General features: G+C 43.8%; 1 long non-coding RNA gene across 1 annotated transcript, besides 3 other annotated features; it reads left to right on the forward strand.

Moving 5' to 3' along the window:
• Positions 1,748 to 2,265: an enhancer, noted in NCBI's record as "H3K4me1 hESC enhancer chr9:47184399-47184916 (GRCh37/hg19 assembly coordinates)". NCBI's record gives its function as "activates a minimal SCP1, AML or CMV promoter by ChIP-STARR-seq in naive H9 embryonic stem cells {active_cell/tissue: H9 hESC(naive)}" and the evidence as "EXISTENCE:reporter gene assay evidence [ECO:0000049][PMID:30033119]".
• Positions 9,995 to 13,426, forward strand: LOC124902163 (uncharacterized). The gene is made up of 2 exons (XR_007061522.1): positions 9,995 to 10,140; positions 13,020 to 13,426. It is a non-coding gene; the product is annotated as an uncharacterized LOC124902163 (long non-coding RNA).
• Positions 12,811 to 13,393: an enhancer, noted in NCBI's record as "NANOG hESC enhancer chr9:47195462-47196044 (GRCh37/hg19 assembly coordinates)". NCBI's record gives its function as "activates a minimal SCP1, AML or CMV promoter by ChIP-STARR-seq in primed H9 embryonic stem cells {active_cell/tissue: H9 hESC(primed)}" and the evidence as "EXISTENCE:reporter gene assay evidence [ECO:0000049][PMID:30033119]".
• Positions 13,655 to 13,855: a silencer, noted in NCBI's record as "peak7248 fragment used in MPRA reporter construct". NCBI's record gives its function as "represses an SCP1 promoter by STARR-seq MPRAs in K562 erythroleukemia cells {active_cell/tissue: K562}" and the evidence as "EXISTENCE:reporter gene assay evidence [ECO:0000049][PMID:32103011]".

A 20,167-nucleotide genomic window follows, 5' to 3' on the forward strand; every position in this document is an offset into this window, starting at 1 on the left:
GGGCAAATTTTGAGGGAGGTGGTGGCTTTTTAGTCTCTGTAGCCATCTTATTCAGGAGTGGACTGGGAGGCAGGTTTGCCTGAGCAGTACCCAGCTTGACTCTTCCCTTGGCTTGGTAATTTTGGGGCCTGAGATGGATTTTCCTTTCACAGGGTGTAGCAGGCTTAGTGCCAGGGCCCAGGAGACTTTTAGGCATCAGGAAAGTGGTTTAATGCCTTCTAAAATCAGAATAAACACAGTGCAGCCTGGGCTACAGTCATCTTTCTACCAACGCAGTTATGAAACATCATTCGTAATACTTTAGCCCAGAGGAGGGACCCACAGAGGCTGTAATGCCAGGCTGCCCGTTATTCCCAATGGAGGCTGGTCGGAGGACGTGGCTCAGAGTGAAGGCCAAGGGGGCCTTCCCTGAACCCCAGAGTGGAGGGGCCACCTGCCCAAAGGCGCAGCCCAGGCCAGCCTCCAGGGAGCCCCCACCTGTTCAGCAGAGCAGGCCACCCCTGCAGGTGGCAGCGGAGAGTGAGCTCAGCCTGCCCTGCAGACCCCGCCTGGATTTGCCAATCCCTCCCTGCGTGGGGGTGGGTGACAAATGGTGGGAGAGAGGCAGGGGTTGGAGAAATCAGTTTTCTCCACGTGGAAGGAGGCTCGGGAGTTGGGGAGGACACCCCCACCTTCCCTGGCCTTTTGTTGCCCTACCCAAGGGCCTCGTGGTCACACTTGTGGTGAGCTGGGGGGCCGCCCCTAGGGAGAGGAGAACTGTCGGGGTCCCCTTCATGAAGCCACTCCCAGGACTGCAGGGGGCCGTTTGGGTTTACCCCCCATGAAACTGCCTTTGCAAAAATTATAACTGAGGAAATGATGACAGTGAAAGAAATCAGACCTAACTGACTCCATATTCCTTCTAACCTTTAAGCTGTCCTTATTCATCCCTGGGCGTAGGCCGAACTAACTTTGGGAAGGAATTCAGTTCATGGTTTGACTCTGAAACAAAATTGGTAACAGCCCTTTCCCGAATAGACCCCCTTCTTGCCTGAGGACCAGTCTGCCTTTGTAGGACTAACAAATTAGCTGCAAGATTAGAAATTATGGTTTAGGGGTCTTGTGGCCTCCGGCTGTGAGAGTCTGAACCTCCCCAAATTGCTTCTGGGGATCACCTCACTATTGTAAAACCTGAGATCAGTGCTGGGGATATTCTGCAGACCCCGCACTCATGGATCAGCTGACACCACCTAGACCAGTCATCTGGCTCAACCAGTTCCGCCATCCCACCCAGGAACAGAAGACAGCAAGAAAAACTCACTTTGACCCCCTATGAATCCATCTCCAAACGGACCAACCAGCATTCCCCACTTTCTGAGCCCCTACCTGCCAAATTATCTTTAAAAACTCTGATCCCCAAATGCTCGGGGAGACCCTTTTGAGTAATAATAAAACTCTGGTCTCCCGCACAGCTGGCTCTGCGTGAGTAACTCCTTCTCCTTTGCAATTCCCCTGTCTTGATAAATCGGCTGTGTCTAGGCAGCCGGCGAGGTGAACACACTGGGCGGTTACACCAGGATTAATGAAACTGACGCAAAGCTCCTTTGTGCCGAAGCTGGAACTCATGCCTCCCACCCGCCGTCCACGTGGTATCCAGCTGCACGGTCATGCGGTGTCCAGCTGCATGGTCACGTGACATTGCAGCTGTGCCGTGGCGTTGGCAAGACTGTGACACACGGCGGCCCCACGCGGTGTCCACTGCACAGTCACATGGCATTGCAGCACTGCCGTGGCAATGGCAAGACCTGTGACACACGGCGGCCCCACGCGGTGTCCACTGCACAGTCACGTGGCATTGCAGCTCCGCCGTGGTGACGGCAAGACTGTGACACACGGCGGCCCCACGCGGTGTCCACTGCACAGTCACGCGGCATTGCAGCTCCGCCGTGGTGACGGCAAGACTGTGACACACAGTGGCCCAAACGTGGGGGGCTCTTCCATTCCTGTATTACTTGATCGAAGAAGTCTGTAGGTCAAACGCCCTTGCCAATTACAGTTGCTAGACTTTAAAGTGAAAATGCATTTTCTTGCCCTCACCATTTAAAAGCCAAAGCTCAGAACTTTGAGTTTTAAGTGAAAGTCCCAAATGATGGGATTCAATTTCTTTCCCCCAGGTCACAGCCAAAGGGGCTGTCATGCAGGGAGATGAGGGGCCGCACAGGCACTCTGGGACCTGGGGCTTTCTTCCTCAGGAGGCCCAGGGGCGCGGGTGAGGTGTCGGCTGCTTTGCACCCAGGCCACGCTGCTTCCAGGGGCCTTGTGGCTGGCAGAGTGGACCTAACGTTTCCCAGACGCCGTTGCGGGGGGCTCCTGTCCTGGGGAGGGCAGATTTTCTCCTGCGTGTGGGTAACTTGTAAGGTGGCAAGGCTGCGTTCCCCGGACCCCCGTCTGCGAGGATTCTCTGAGGTCCAAGTTTCCAACGACTTTCTCTGGAAAGGTTTTGCCTTTGCTTCTCCCAGAAGCTTGGGTTGCCAGGACTCCCTCAAACTAAATTTTTGGCCTGGGGTTTTTCCAGTCATCCAGTGAGCGTGAGTTCTGGCCACACTGCCCCTGAGGTGGGCTTGTGACTGGAATTTCCTGGGGTGACCTTTTTCTGCTTTTCCGCCTGCTTCCAGAGCCAAGGCGACGCGCCCACTGTCTCCCAGCTGGGTGGGCTTCCCCAGGCCGTCTGTGGGGCCTCCTTGATCCTCCCGTGGGCAGGTCTCACGTCCCCTTTGCCTCTGGCTCCCTGTGTGCGTGGCTCACTCAAGCCAATGGGAAAACCCCGGAAACTCTACAGAGAAGTAGGTAAAATCCATGGACAGAATGTGTAGAACAAGATTACAAATGGCTCTGAAATATAGGGAAAGAGGCTCGTAGTAAAGAAATGCAAGTACAAGCTATGCAGAGATGCAGTTTCTCACATATCAGACTGGCAGCGATTCAAAAGCGCGACTGCGGTGGAGGAGGCCGTGGGAAACTGGCTCCCTCAGACACTAGGAGGGAAACTGTCCACCCGAGGGAGCGGAAGGTGGCAGTAGCTAACAAAATTACACTGGCTTTGCCCCTTGACCCAGCGATTCGATTTCTAGGAATTTCCCCCGAGGTGACACCTCTGCAAACAGGGAACAGTGCATGCTTGAGGGATGCAGCACAGCCTCATTTGTCACAGCGAGACACTGGGAACGACCTGAGTGCTCATTCACCAGGCAGGGCTGTGCAAATGGGAACAGCCACAGCGCGGGGCATCATGTGGCCGTGGGGAACCTGGGGAGCCTAGGGGGCCTGGGGGGACTGGGGAGAACTCAGGGAGTCGGAGCACGGGAGGACAGACAGGCTGCTCAGTGTGGCAGGTGCAGCGCCGAGGGCGTCTGCAGGTGGGTGAGAAGGGGGTGTAAGGGGACACACACACACACCACACATGCACATGCAATCCACACACACAAATCACACACACACGTAAGCCACACACACAAATCACACACATCAGACACACCACACACGTACATGTAAACCACACACACAATCACACACCACACACACGTAAACCACACACACAAATCACACACATCAGATACACCACACATGCACATGTAAACCACACACAATCACACACCACATGCACCATACACGCACATGTAAGCCACATACAAATCACACACACTACACACACACTTAAACCGCACACACAAACCACACACATCAGACACACCACACATGCACATGGAGACCACACACACAAATCACACACACCACACACACACATATCACACACATCATACACACACATAATACACACACACAAATCATGGCACACACCATACATGCACATCTAAACCACACACACACAAATCATATACACGCACACACACCACACACGTCAACTATACACACAAAAATCACACATTCCTTCACTACACAGGCATATATAAACTACACACAGAAATCACAAAGGCAGACACACTACACATGCATATGTAAATTACACACACATAAACTACACACACAACCTATACACACAAATCATACATGCACTATACATGCACATATAAACTACACACTATACACACACAAATCACCCACATGCACACACACGGCACATACTACACCTACACCTGTGAACTACACACATACGTAAACTACACACACAAACTACACACAGATATAAACCACACACACAAAGTACACACACATAAACCACACACACAAACTACACACACATGAACTTCACACACAAACTACACATACATATAAATGATACACAAACTATTCACACACAAACTACACACATAAACCACACACACACATAAACCACACAAAACACACACACATAAACTACACACACAAACTGTTCACACATATAAAAACACACACAAAGTACACCCAAACTATACACACAAACCACACACACATATAAACCACACACACAAACCATACACATACATATAAACCACACACACAAAGTACACACACATAAACTATACACAAACTACACACACACATATAAACCACATACACAAACTATACACAAACACATAAACTACACACACAAACTACATACACATATAAACCACACACGCAAAGTACACACATGTAAACTGCACACACAAACTATACACACACAAAGTGCACACACATAAACTACACACAAACCACACACACATACAAACCACATACACAAACTATACACACACACATAAACTACACACACAAACTACATGCACATATAAACCACGCAAAGTACACATTCATAAACCACACACACAAACTATACACACATATAAATCACACACAAAGTATACACATGTAAACTGCACACACAAACTATACACACACAAATAAACCACACACACAAAGTACACACACATAAAGTACACACGAACCACACACACATATATAAATCACATACACAAACTATACACAAACACATAAACTACACACACAAACTACACGCACATATAAACCACACACACAAAGTACACTTTCATAAACTACACAAACTATACACACATATAAACCACACACACAAAGTACACACATGTAAACTGCACACACAAACTATACACACACATATAAATCACACACACAAAGTACACACACATAAACTACACATGCAAACTATACACACACATATAAATCCCACACACAAAGTACACACATGTAAACTACACACAGAAATGATACACATATAAACCACACACACAAACTACACATACATAAACTACACACAGAAACTATACACACACATATAAACCACTCACACAAACTACACATACATAAACTACACACACATAAATCACACACAAACTACACACACAAACTCTACACACACATATAAACCACACACACAAACTACACACACAAACTCTACACACACATATAAACCACACACACAAACTACACATACATAAACTTCAGAAACTACACATTCATATAAATGATACACACACAAACTACACACACATATAAACCACACACACAAACTACACACACATAAACTGCACACAGAAACTATACACACACATACAAACTATGCAAACTATACACACCCATATAAACCACACACACAAACTATACACACATAAACTTCACACACAAACTACCCATTCATATAAATCATACACACACAAACTACACACACACATATAAACCACACACACAAAGTATACACACATAAACTACACACATATAAACTACACATGCAAACTATACACACATAAACTAAACACACAGACTACACACATATAAACTACATATGCAAAGTATGCACATGCACATAAACCACACACACAAACTGTACACACAATATAAACCATACACACGAGCTACACACACATGTAAACTACATACAGAAACTACACACACACATAAATAACCACCAGGTGGGAGGACTGGGTGGAGTGAGAAGTCAGAGAATCCTTTACATATGTGTTGACTTTTGAAACACGTAAATGTTTACACGTTCAGAAATAGAATTAAATTGACAAGCACAAAAAAATTGAACATTGAATTCAAACAGAAATCAATGAACCTAAAACAATTGACAGCAACACCAGATGGAAACAAGAATGGAAGTGGCTTTCGAAGGGGCCTCTGGCTGTGGGGACCCGCAGCTCCGCGTCGCAGGCTGGTTTTGTCGCAGCAGGAGCGCTGCTGTGGTCGTCTGAAACCACTGTCTGTGGATTAAGGGCTGGTCACCCCCAGCAGCTTGGTGGTCCTCCTCGGAACCAGGACTCTTTCTCTCGCTGGGAGGCGGGAGATAGGGATGTGGAACGGGAAACAAAGAGGGTTCCTGGGGGCTTGTGCTTGGACCGGAAGCGGCAGCAATAACTCATAATTCAAAAAAAATCCATTTTCTGTCTCTAACCACTGAAAGGAGCTAACATTGGCGCTACCCAAGCACACAGGCACACGGGTGGTTTCCGAAGCTGTGCGGCACGATGGGGCCTAAGTCCAGATCTGGGTGGAGGTGGGCACAGGATGAGCCAGAGTATGGATCGCGTCGCGCCAGGAGGGCGGACGCACTTGAGGACAGACGGGCATGCCTCAACAGGCCAAAAAGGCCAGGTGGAAGGGGCTCTGGTGGCCAAATTTGAGACATAGGATGAAGAGCATTGGATGAACAGTATAGTCCATGGCGGCCCTAGAAGGAGGGAGCACTTCCTCCTAGAACAATCCAGCCAACTTGGGAGAGGCGATGGGTTTGAAAGTCCCCATTTGTGCACTCCCCCTGGAATGAACACATTCAGGTGAAGATCAGCAGCGGATGTTGAAGTCGGCTGAATAGCATCCCCAAGGCAAGTGCCTATCCTAAGCCCCAGAACCTGTAATCACAGGTCCCCTTGTATGGCAAGAGGGGCTTTGCAAATGTGGCTAAGTGAGGGACCTGGAGATGGGGAGGCCACCCTGGATTATCCAGGTGGGCCCTGGTGATCTTCAGGGTCCTTTTAAGAGGGAGGCAGGAGGTTCAGAGCCTGAGGAGGGGATGCAGTGATGGACGCGGAGCTTGGAGGGATGGGGTTTGGAAACGGAGGAAAGGGCCACACATGTACCCAGGAACACTGGTAGAAGGAATGCAGCCCTGCCGACACCGATCTCAGCCCGGTGTGACCCATTTTAGACTTCCGGTCTACAGAGCTGGGAGAGAACACACCTGTGTTGTTTGTGGTAATCTGTTACAGCAGCCACAGGCAACTAACTCGGGTGCCAAAGCCATTGAGTTAAGGGCTGTTGGGGAACAGGATATTCACGCTCCTAGGACCACCAGTTACAAAGGGGAGGGGGACTTACGCAGGAGCAGCTGGCGACAGTCCTTCCCCCATGACTGGATGTAGCATCACCTGGGAGGGACAGCTGACATGTCCCCTGCTGTGACGGGCAGAGGACAGCGTCTCCTGTGAGTGTTGCTGCACAAAACACCACACCCGAATTTCATGCTGGGCCAGTCTGGGTTATGCTGCTTCCTGCCGGACAGCTGACCAGACCCTGGAAGCCAGTGGTGTCACTAAAGGAAAAGAGCTCATCTGGTGTAGGAGGCTTAATTGTGGCAGGAGGGCATAGGTGGGGGGGTGGTAAGAAGGAAGTGTCAGGAGGGAATGATGCTGCTAGGCATTTGGAGGCGGAGCTCAGGGGCAGGAAGAGGATTTGGAAGAATGATGGATAGAATTGATGACAGGCTGAATTTTAGGTGTCTGAGAAAAATCCAAGTGGAAACAATTCAGAAGATGCATGAATATTCAAGTATGGGCATGGAAGAAAAGTCTGGACTGGAAATATATATTTAAAAGTAAATAGGGCGGCCAGTTGCAGTGGCTCATTCCTTTATTTCCAGCACTTTGGGAGGCTGAGGTGGGCGGATCACGAGGTCAGGAGATCGAGACCATCCTGGCCAGTACGCTGAAAGCCTGTCTCTATTAAAAATACAAAAATTAGCTGGGCATGGTGGCATGAACCTGTAATCCCAGCTACTTGCGAGGCTGAGGCAGGAGAATCGCTGGAATCTGGGAAGTTGGAGGTTGCAGTGAGTCAAGATCGCCACTGCACTCCAGCCTGGCAACAAAGGAAGACTCCATCTCAAAAAAAAAAAAAAAAAAGTACAGGGTATGAGTGACAGTTAAAGTCACACCTGTGAATTGGTGGAAAGATGTGAAACAGCCAACTCAGGGTCCGAAATGAAATAAGACAGACTCATGTTTCCTGACTTTACTATAACATTGCCTATTGCATTTTCAAGCATGAAGGGGAAAATATATATTTTTTTATGGAGATACTTTGATCTTTCAAATTCTGGACCTGGGATGTGAAATGGCCATGGCCTTAGTTATTTTAACTGGCTAACTCATAGAATCCCTTTTCTGTGTTCCACAAATGTGCCACATTTTGTGCTATTCATATTCCTTTATCTAGTATATCCTCTTTCATTAATCTATTTTAGTGCAGTAATAGTTATATTTGCAGATCTAAGAACTAATTGCTTGACTTTGTTAATGGATAAAACAAACTGTAATATATTTTAAAGAGGTTTATTCTGAAACAATATGAGTGACTGAGGCCTGGAGAAAACACGCAACCAAGAAGGCTTGAGTAAGTGGTTCCGAGGTGGCCGGATTGGTTTGGTTTTATACATTTCAGGGAGGCAGGAGTTACAGGCAAAGACATCAACACATGGAAGGTATACACTGGTTCGGTTCAAAAAGGGGGATTATCTTCAGGAGACGTCTTATAGGTTGTAGGTGGACTTGGGGATTCTCTGGTTTGTGATTGGTTAAAGGAGTAAGGCCCTGTCTACAGCTTAGAGTTGACAGAAAGGAAGGTAAGAATGCTCTGTCAGAGTCAGCCACAATAAAATGCCCTGGTTAGCAAGCCTGATGGCCTGCAGGCCTGACTTACACCTGCCTTGCATGGCCTTAGGGCTTGTTCATAATTTGTTATCTTATGGCCACACAGGGTCTGTTCTGTCAGTCTTAGGATCTCTATTTTAACACCGCTGCTGGTTACTTGTTGAGTCCAAACTCCAAAACAGAGGAGGTATGATGAGGTGTGTCTGACCTCCCTTTCTTTCAGGGCCAGAAACAGCTTTTCAGTTTTCTCTGGGGTCCTCTTGGCCAAGAAGTTTCTGTTCAGTTGGTTGGGGGGCTTAGAATTTTATACTTAGTTTACAACCTAGCGTTGGTCTATATTATATGCTCAGGAAAGTTTCTGAAATAGCCCTGGACTGGTTGGGTGATCTAGGATATGGAAAATGGGCCTGTGTCCTGAATGATGCACTTGAAAATGGAATATAAGACTCTGTAAAACTCAAAGCATCTGTGAACACAAAATTCAATTGAGTTGATTTTCCGCAGGCTTTCTCCACTGCTAACAGTTACAATTCAATCTCAGTTATACATGGTGTCCAAAAGAAGCACATTGTGGTGACCAGCAGAAACCAATTTTTGCTTGAAGAATAAAGGTTGCAATTTTGCAAAGGTCATGTGTTATATAAATTTTCAGTAAGATGAGATAGTTTTAAATATTTATGGCATGGACCTAAAATACACTTGCACTCTTTAGGATGAAGGAATCTATTAATTTTTTGGTAAGTGAGGAATTTAAATGGCCACTAATTTCTTCCACGAACAGCTCTGCACGTTTTTCTCCACGTGTTTGTAGCGTGTACCCTTATCGGTCAAGCAACACTGAGGGGTATTCTGTGAGCACATCTTTAGAATGATACATTAAAATTCTAGTAAATCTTAAGGCCTAGATGATATAAACTCTGAAGTCATCTTGCTCAACAGAAATTATCAATAAACCTTTTTATAGTTCACTAAAAATAAAGAACAGAGTTAATAATCTTGACATTTTTATTCCTGCAAGTTGAAAAAGTTCATGTGTTTTTTCTCAATCTACTAAAGATCTAAATTATTTTGATATAGTTTCAGACTTACTTTGTAACTGAAAGTGATTTTTCTCATTTTTGTTGATAGAAATAAAAACATCAGTAGGAGGGGAAGGAGGAAGGAAGGAGAAGAAAGAGGAAGAATAGGAGGAGAAGAGGAAGAGAGGAAGAAGTCGTGAACAGCCCTCCTGCATTTTGCATCAGGTAGAAAAGTCAGTTGAATGTTGGGAAGAACACAAATAGTAAGTACATAGATTTTCATGTAATAAAAATACCCATTGTTATCAATGCAGGAATGTGCATTTTTTGAGTCACCATAAGATGACAGAGAGCCCCTGGGGCCACCCTTTGGTGTCTCCCAGCTTCCGATGGCAGTCAAGCTTGTAGCAGAGGGACCTGCGTCCCATGTGCCCCTCATCTCCACACTGCCCTAGGCTTGGCTAAGGGAACTATTGTTGTTCATGTTCCCAAGGGCAACTGTGCAAATGTTCCACTTGCCCTTCAGCATGGGGTGATTCTCCTATGCACAGAAGCAAACACAATAGTTTAAAACAGGGATAACTCAGTAGATTACCCCTGATACATCCAACTGTGCTTTATCGTTATCTTGTTACAGTTTCTGGGTGGAGCCTATTTTTCCAGCTTTTGGCTGCTCTGAGCCGAAGGATGGTAGTAGGGCAGGAGAAGGGGAATTGAATTAATATTTATCAAGGGCCTGACACGAGCCCAGCACTGTGAAGACACCCTCTACACCTGTTATCTTACTAAATCCTCAGTTCAATCCTTTGGGACAAGTGTCACGCTGTTTGCAAATGAGGAAACTAAAACTCATTAAAAATAAGCGACATGCGCAGATCATGTAGATAATATAGAGTAAGGGTTTAAACTCTGGACTCTTTGGGACCAGTAACCATCCTCTTAACTGTTCCACACTTTCTTCCATGTAATGTAGAAATATTTGATTTATTAATAATGTATTCCTTTACAACTTCTGAATGGGATCTGAGATAAATGTATTCATAAGCCCTATATATGATAGTTAAGTATAAGGTGAAAATAGGGAACCATTTAGACAAAAGAGAAGATGATTACATATGAGGCTAACATAGTAAGATCATGAAAATTAAGTTTAGTTTCTCTTCTCCGGTTAGACAAGAGGAAGGGAGGTGTGGCAGGTCCCTGGCTTTCCCCATTTCTCAGGGCAGACCTTGGGTTGTGATCTGATCTCATGTGGTTCTCCAAGACCTTCAGGGAAGACTTTGTTCTGTTTTGTTAAGTTTGAGGTTATTTCTCAATTTGTTTGTCATTTTGCTGATTAAGAAGCATAACAGAAATTTATTCTGCAGAAAAGGAAACTGATTAAGAAAACGCAGTGCTTTTATCAGGGACTTTCCAGGATAGATGAATAGATACTGTATATTTATTATTTCAACTCGTGAAAAAAAATCAAGGACATGTTATTAAATTGTAGTTTCTTGAAAATCTTTTAACAGTAAATAAATCTAATGCATACCAAGTACTTTGCCATTCAGTGGTCTAACAATAAAAAGAGATAACCTAAAGAATATCTGGCTTGTGTGTTCCTTAGGTCAACATGTGTAAATAACTAGCAGGTTGGAGGCATTATGTTTCACTTCCACGCAACCTGTTGCATTTTGCAGGGGTCAATGATTTAGGCACCAATGCCCCTGTGTTTTTTAAAGGGACAAAATACAACCACAATTTCCCTGAACTATGGATTTTAGACTCTAGTTACATATGGGCTAATTTAAATATTCCAAGTAAAGCATATAAGAAAATATAGTCAAAATAGCATGATAATAATTTGACAAGTAAACATCATCGCACTTTCTAAAGCATCCATCTGTATGACAAATTATATGGTCCACCCTATTTATCAGGTCCACCCTAATAACAACCCTCTCTTGAAGGATTATATTACCCTGGTCTTTCAAATGAGGAAATTAACAGTATTGAGATCTCAACCAAAAGGTCTGGCTTCAGAGCTGGCGTGCTTAGTCACTGTACTGTATGGCCGCTCTGCATTCTAGTTTTATTATTATGATCTGGTTGTAAGTGAGTTTACAAGAGACAAGGGGAGAAGAGTAGGCATAAAATAGAAGCCAAGATCTAGAATCACTCATTCAAAATATATGGTTACTATTTCCCCCTTTCCACAGTCACTTAGAAGGCACTCCTGATACATTTTAAACCTAAGTCTTAGAATAGTATTAGATTCCTGAGAAAATGACAGCTTTTCCTCTTTGATAAAAAGTCTTGTATTAATTACGTGTCCCCTTTGCTTTGACTGTTATAATAAAGCCTTATATCTTAAAGATGTCCACAATGCCAGCCCTCCACAAGTCTCACCTTCAGCATTTTCTTACTATTCCAGTTTACATTATTTCCTGCTCCTAATTTTTAAGCTTAAATTACTTAGCCATTTTTATGTGGTTATCCATCTGGTCAAGTGACTTGGAAATGGGGCAACAAAATAGAATGACAGATTGGTTTGCATAGGAAAACAGACAGAAAAGGAACGACAGCAATACAGGACCAGATGGATGTTTCCCAGAAGCAAAGAAAAGGGGCCTGCCCTTACAGGAGTATGTGGGCACTGATGGATGAGGTTCTTTATGCCTTCCGAAAGAGGAGCCAAGCCGCTGATGAGTGAGGTAACTAAGAGCTCTCATGCTCTTAGTGAGCTAAGGTCCACCTGCTGCTAAGATTACCTCAAAATACTAAGCTTAACGTAAAACTCCAGTTTTAGAATCATATTAAAAATAATTTGGTTAAGGATGAGCTGTGAAATAATTAATTCAAATGCTGCTAACTGAGCACTTCAGTTAGTGCTCCTCAAAGCTGTGAGAAATAGGCTTATGCTCAGTTCCTCCTGGGTGCTGTAAAAGGAACATAAAATCTCTGGACCCCAAACTCACTAAGCTGAAGGGAACAGTCAAGCTGAGAACTGGGTCATGCCAACCAGCCTCCCATTTTGTTCCCAAATAAGACAGCTACAGATTTAAAAGGATACATGCCTCTCTCACAATTTGCTCAAAACGAAATTCTTTGTGGGTCCCAAGATCTTTACCCTAAAACAGTTCTGTTGAATTTCACCCAGAAAATGCAAGAGAACAGCTATCTTCACAGATCCCGGAACAAAGGACAAAGGATAGAACTAAAAGCTCCCCCCACCCGCCGCCCGGCACCAAAGGAGTCATATCTGATTACTTCCTTTGGAAAGGCTAATCAGAAACTGAAAAGAATGTAACTGTTTGTGTCTCACCTATCTGTGACCTGGAAGCTCCCTCCCAGCTTTGAGTCTTCCTGCCTTTGCTTCCAGTTGTTCTGCCTTTCCAGACCCAACCAATGTACTTCTTATATCTATTGATTGATGTCTCATGTCTCCCTAAATGTAAAAATCAAGCTGTGCCCCAACTGCCTTGGGCACATGCTATCAGGACCTCCTGAGGCTGTCATGGATGCGTCCTCAACCTTGGCAAAATAAACTTTCTAAATTAACTGAGACCTGTCTCAGATTTTCTGGGTTCACAAATGCATATCTGATTACTTCCTCTACTTTATGTTTATTTTATCTTATGTAAAAATGCAAATTCACTGAGTGTGAGATGAATGCATAATTGACTATTTCTCTACCCCTTCCTTTGACATGTGAAATGTGGATTCAGTGCACACTGATCAAAGACTCAACAGAATGCAACTGCCTGCCCCTTTTATCTACCCTTCCCCTTTTTTCTTTTCTTCCTCTTTCTCCTACTGCTTGCTCTTTCCCATTAAATACTAAAATTCGCAGGCCCTCTTCAGAAAAAGCATGGATCACAGATTGTTCTTGTGGTTTTGTGTTCCTTTTTCCCGGGTGCGTTCTTAACCTTGTCAAAATAAACCTCTAACATGATTGAGACGCTCCTCAGTCATTTTCTTTGACTGTCAGTGGTGAAGGTTTGTTGCATGAGTCAACTTCTGTCTCACTCTGAGTCTTCTTCTGGCTGCTTTCAATGCCAACACAAAGTGCTCCCTCTAACTCCTTGACATTTCTTCTGTCATCACTATCTCTAGGATTTCTGTTTATTGCTTTTGTTATGGCCACCGTCAGCTTTCAGGCATGCAAATCCCCAGTTTCTTCTCTATGTGGTTTATATTTAAGGTGAACAAGGGAGTCTCATGGGTTGGAAAGTCACCGTCTGATATGATCCAGACCTTTGGCTGCCCGTGGTTAATGAGCAACCTGGTGAGAAATAGTGGCAGTGAGAATGCCATATGAGCTTAATAAAAAGTCTGGGGTGATACACCCAAGGATTTGCTTCTAATTGCATTTACCAGACAGGGCAGTGTTGAGTGCAGACAACTTTAAAAGGGGCAATTACCCAGCCTGCTAAACCTGCTATAGGTAAAGGAGTGTGCTGGGCAAGGTGCCAGAACATTGTATAAAATGATCATTATAGATTAAAGAAACACAGGCATACCTAGGGCCGTGGGCATTTGATACATCAGATCTAAAAGAATAATACATATGCTTCAGACCAGTTGTAAGAAAATTTACTTTTCTGTATAGCAGGGTCTAAAGTGCATTTATAGGAGGCAAAGATGCCTCATCAGAAAACTAAAGAAGTTCTGAAAAAAAGCTAATATGATACTTGAGAGCATGTCTGTTTCCATCTCATCTAAGTCACAGGAAGAGGAAACGGCCGCATTTACGAAAGTGTGAATTGGAAGCCCCTGAAAAATGTGACTGGATGGGATGAAACACTTGTGTGACACTTTAATAATGGGTATTGGCTAGCTCCTCATTATTTTCCACTGCAGTAAAGTGCGGCATGCAGCAAGATGTCAGTGTAGCATTTACCTATGCAGTGCCACTCTGCTGCAGAGTTTTAAGGATTGAAGATAAGGAAGTGCTACCCGAAAGCTGGCAAATACACGACACATTGAAAGATAAAGAAAGTTGACTTTTGCTGAGTACCTGCTTTGTGCTAGGCACTGGTTTCCAAATTTTGCTGCACAATGGAATCATCTTGGATCTTTAAAAACTGTTGATGCCTGGTTCCCATGCCTAATATTTTGACTTCATGGATGTTGCGTGCAATGTGGACGCTGTGTTTCTAAAAGCTTCCCACTTCATTCTAATGTGCAGCAGTTTGGGAATCACCCTACCAGACTATTACATTTCTTTTTTTTTTTTTCCTTCCTTCCTTCCTTCCTTCCTTCCTTCCTTCCTTCCTTCCTTCCTTTCTTTCTTGATGGAGTTTCGCTCCTGTTGCACAGGCTGGAGTGGAATGGCACAATCTCAGCTCACCACAACCTCCGCCTCCTGGGTTCAAACGATTCTCCTGCCTCAGCCTCCTGAGTAGCTGGGATTACAGGCATATGCCACCATGCCCGGCTAATTTTCTATTTTTAGTAGAGATGGGGTTTCTCCATGTTGGTCAGGCTGGCCTCAAACTCTCGACCTCAGGTGATCTGCCCACCTCAGCCTCCCAAAGTGCTGGGATTACAGGCGTGAACCACTGTGCCTGGCCCAAACCATTCCATTTCTACTCATTATCTCACTTAAGCCACAGTGAAGCCTGTTGTTACCGATGAGGTCATAGAGGCTAGATGACCCCAGAAAACTTGCCTAGTTTTGGGTAGTGGAATAGACTAAAATCTGATCCTGTGGCTGTAAAACTCTGAAGCTTGGGTTCTTCTCACTCTTCCACACTGGTAGAATTCATGCACTGTAAGGAAAGAAAGGTTTTCTCTTTAATTTTCCCTGTGCTGGTAGCTAGCAGAGAATTGTAATTCATTTAGTAGAGGAAAAAAACCATATATATACTGGGCTATTTTATTAAGGATTGGGTTTTGGTTAAGATCAGACAATGAAACCTATTATAAATTTCCAAAGATATGCAGGTCAGACCATGCTACACCATGTTTCTGGGAGCCCAGAATGCAGAAACAAACATCAAAGTTCTCTTGTAATTTCATGGAAATATTTCATGTTAAAATTGTATTAATTTCAAAAGGTTAGAGTAGAAAATGAGAAGTATACACTTCATTAATTCTCAAGTTCTATATTTGCCAGAAACTTATCTCACCTTCATTAAAAAAAACTCTTATTACTTGATTTCAGAACACTTATAAAACATACTATGGGCCAGGCAAGGGGGCTCACGCCTGTAATCCCAGCACTTTGGGAGGCCGAGGCCGGCAGATCGTGAGGTCGGGTGATCGAGACCATCCTGGCTAACACGGTGAAACCCCGTCTCTACTAAAAATACAAAAAATTAGCCAGGCGTGGTGGTGGGTGCCTGTAGTCCCAGCTACTCGGGAGGCTGAGGCAGGAGAATGGCGTGAACCTGGGAGGTGGAGCTTGCAGTGAGCCGAGATCGTGCCACTGCACTGCAGCCTGGGTGACAGAATGAGACTCCATCTCAAAAAAAAAAAAAATACTATGGCATCCTCAGTAGTGACTCAAAATCAGAGTTACAAAAATAAGTAAAATGAATTTTCAAAAACAAACAAAACATGTTGAGCTAGGAAAACAAACTGAGATTGAAAATACATCCTAAAATAAAATCCTATGCAAAATTCAACATAAATAAGAAGATACTTCTGATGCTATACAGAAGAAAAATAAAATAGGTAGGAAAAGGGCTTTTCAGACCAAAATAAAGAAGAGAAGAAAATGGAGGGACGGTCCTGGTAGAATGCCAGAGTAATCTCTTCAGACACCGTGATCCTCTGGGGGTGTTCTCTTCTCAGGCATCTGACATTAAGAAAGGAAGCTTGCATTTCCCACTCCTATTGTAGTGCTTGATTCTCTATGTTTAGACGTATGCTACCTATGTCCAATAATATTGAACATATAGATTTATATCTTGTTTTTTCTATGTATTTGTCATGTCCATGTTTGACAAATGTTCATATTTATTACATTTAATAACAACAGAAGCTTATCGCCTCATGTTGGGTGTTAAAATTTTCTTAACTATTTTCTTACTCTTGGATATTTAGACTGTTTTCACTTTTTCGATGTAACATTGAACGTCTTGTAAACATAATTTTAAAAAAATGGCCGGCGGGCACGGTGGCTCACGCCTGTAATCCCAGCACTTTGGGAGGCTGAGTCGGGCGGATCACGAGGTCAGGAGATCGAGAAAATCCTGACCAACATAGTGAAACTCCGTTACTACTAAAATACAAAAATTAGCCAGGCATGGTGGCACGTGCCTGTAATCCCAGCTACTCAGGAGGCTGAGGCAGGAGAATCACTTGAACAAGCGAAAACGCCCGGGCGCTGTGGCTCACACCTGTAATCCCAGCACTTTGGGAGGCGGAGGTCACAAGGTCAGGAGATTGATCGAGAACATTCTGGCTAACACAGTGAAACCCCGTCTCTACTAAAAACACAAAAAATTAGCCGGGTGTGGTGGCGGGCGCCTGTAATCACAGCTACTCAGGCGGCTGAGGCTGGAGAATCGTGTGAACCCAGGAGGCAGAGGTTGCGGTGAGTGGAGATTGCGCCACTGCACTCCAGCCTGGGTGACAGAGTGAGACTCTGTCTCAAAAAAAAGAAAAAAAATCTTGTCTTAGGATAAATTCCTGGTAGTGAGATATTAGTTAAAGGAGGATGACATTTTTACAAATTATATAGCATCTGTATGTTACTTTCTGAATGCATCCATTAGGTTACAAGGTCACAAGTAGCACATGATGCATCCCGTTCTCCACAGGACTGCCAGGAAAGGCTTATCTTTTCAGAGAGATTTTATTAGTAATTAGACATAAAATGGTGCTTTGAACTACTGTAACTTGCATGTCTATGGTTATTAGATAGATAAAATTTTTCCCACTTTTTAAACTATTTACATTACCTCATATGTGATCTTGACAATAGAGTTTTTTCCTTTTGTTTTTTACTGCTCTTGAATTTCCTCCTATTTTTTGAAATAACTTACTTAATATAGAGAGTTGTCTTCATGATGGTAGTATTATTCACAATATTTCCCAACTTCGTTGTGTTCCTTATATAGCTCTAGTCTTCTTATGCAGATATTTTCATTTGTATGCATTTAATTTTTTAAAGAATATCTTCTATTGCTTATAATCTGTGAAAGTTTGTATTTCTTTATCTCTGCTTAGACCTAGTGACTCCCTCATTTTATTATCTGTGAGCTTTTCTCTCCATTAGGTTAGCACAGCCTTCTATAATCTGACCTTATCACACCTTACAGAAGCATCATTTGACACACTTCAACTCAGCACCTCAGATCTATTTGGCCCATCCCTTTTCTTCCACACAAACATACCATGTTCATTTATGCCTTGGGGCATTTGGCCTGTCTTAGATGCCTGCCCATTCTTATTTCCTCTACCCATTCAAAGTCTACCTATCAGGGGGACAGATGCCTTGATTACACTCCTCCCCTTGATTTACTTAGTCACATGAACTCCTATAACCTCCTATAACTTGCAGAGTCAATATTTATTTATTTATTTATTTTTTATTTTTTTTGATATGGAGTCTCACTCTGTCACCAGGCTGGAGTGCAGTGGCATGATCTCAGCTCACTGCAAGCTCTGCCTCCCAGGTTCATGCCATTCTCCTGCCTTAGTCTCCCAAGTAGCTGGGACTGCAGGTGCACGCCACCACACCTGGCTAACTTTTTTTGGTATTTTTAGTAGAGACGGGGTTTCACCATGTTAGCCAGCATGGTCTCAATCTCCTGACCTCATGATCTGCACGTCTCAGCCTCCCAAAGTGCTGGAATTACAGGTGTGAGCCACTGCTCCTGTCCCATAGTCAATATTTATAATTTGGCAATTACCTGTAATTATGTAGTCTCTTGTACGTATTTCAAATGTGTTAGCCTTGTCTTCTTAGACAAACTGTGATAATTAAGACATATTTCAGTGGTCTTTATAGCAGCTCTGATGACTGTTGAAATACATTTTTGAGTACCCTACATACTCACTGCATATTTAATTGGTTAAGAATTAAATAAAGAAGTGAATTTTTATCTGCAACTCAGTGGGTCAGGCCCATTGAACTCCAAGTGTCTCCAAGTCCTCGTCACCTGCCTTTGAGTGACATGACTCACTCAAAGGCAGGTGATAAGAAACAAGAAAACTGGAACTCATACTTTCAGAGATTTTCCTGCCTCGGATGTGAAGTCTCTTGGCTACTGGAGTCTGGAAGATGACTTCTAAACTGATTCTGACAGGATTGTAACTTGAAACCCTATTATATTCAGTTTCCCTCACTGGTCTCTTTACCCACCCCACACTAGGTGGTACCAGTACTGAGAACTAATTCCCTTCTAAATTCTAAACTCTAAACTGTGTCCACTTTCATCTCACTTATCCTGCCAGTCCCTCCACTCCCTTTCAAGTTTCCCCCTCAAAGCTTCAATTTGTTCTCTTTGGTTCTGATCGTGTTCATCAGCACTCTCCACATGCTTCAACCCATAACACTCCAACTTTCAAACTGGATCAAAACAACCATGACTTTTCCCGTTCCTGTCCCTGGGCTATAGAGTGTTGCCACAAGAATTCACCCACCAAGTGAGGTTGGTGCTCATGATTTACAGCCACGGGAGCAGCTTTGCAGAACTTTCAGCATCCTCTTCCATTTCTCCTATGGCTGTACCAAATCTTCACCACCCCTCAGAAGATTTTGCCTTTCATTCACAAAGAAAATTTGATTATCAGCCAGAAAGTCTCTCCATTGCCATGCTCTAAAACAACCAACCACATCAAGATATTACCCATATTTGCATGCAATCACGCTCACGTTCTTGTCTTCTAACCTGAGAAGGCTTGGAGGGAAAAACCCTTCTGCTCAAAGGCAGTCCATCCTCACATTGTTTACTCAGTCATAATCAAGATGCTGTCCAATTATTAACATCAGTCTTCCCTTTCATATATTTTTAATCTTTTCAATTTATAAACATGATCAACATTTTTTCCTGTGAAGAGAAAAACCAATTCTACATTTCAGACCTTGCTTTCTATCCACCCACTCTCTCCCTCAGCCATGGCCATTACCTCTTCAAGGCCAAACTTCTCCAAAAAAAAAGTCTTCCATCACTTCCTTGTCAGGTCTCCACCCACTTCCTTGGGTCTACGCACTTTTATAAACATTGAAGCCGTCAATTCCTCAGTAGTCAGATCCAAGCTCATCTGACTCTGGAATTTTCAGGTGTTAAGCCTTTCATCTTGTAACCCTGTCTTTCCCTGGCTTCCATGATACCGTTTTTCCACACCCTC

The sequence above is a fragment of the Homo sapiens genome, chromosome 9, assembly GCF_000001405.40.
Source record: "Homo sapiens chromosome 9, GRCh38.p14 Primary Assembly".
In the NCBI taxonomy this organism is placed as follows: domain Eukaryota; kingdom Metazoa; phylum Chordata; class Mammalia; order Primates; family Hominidae; genus Homo; species Homo sapiens.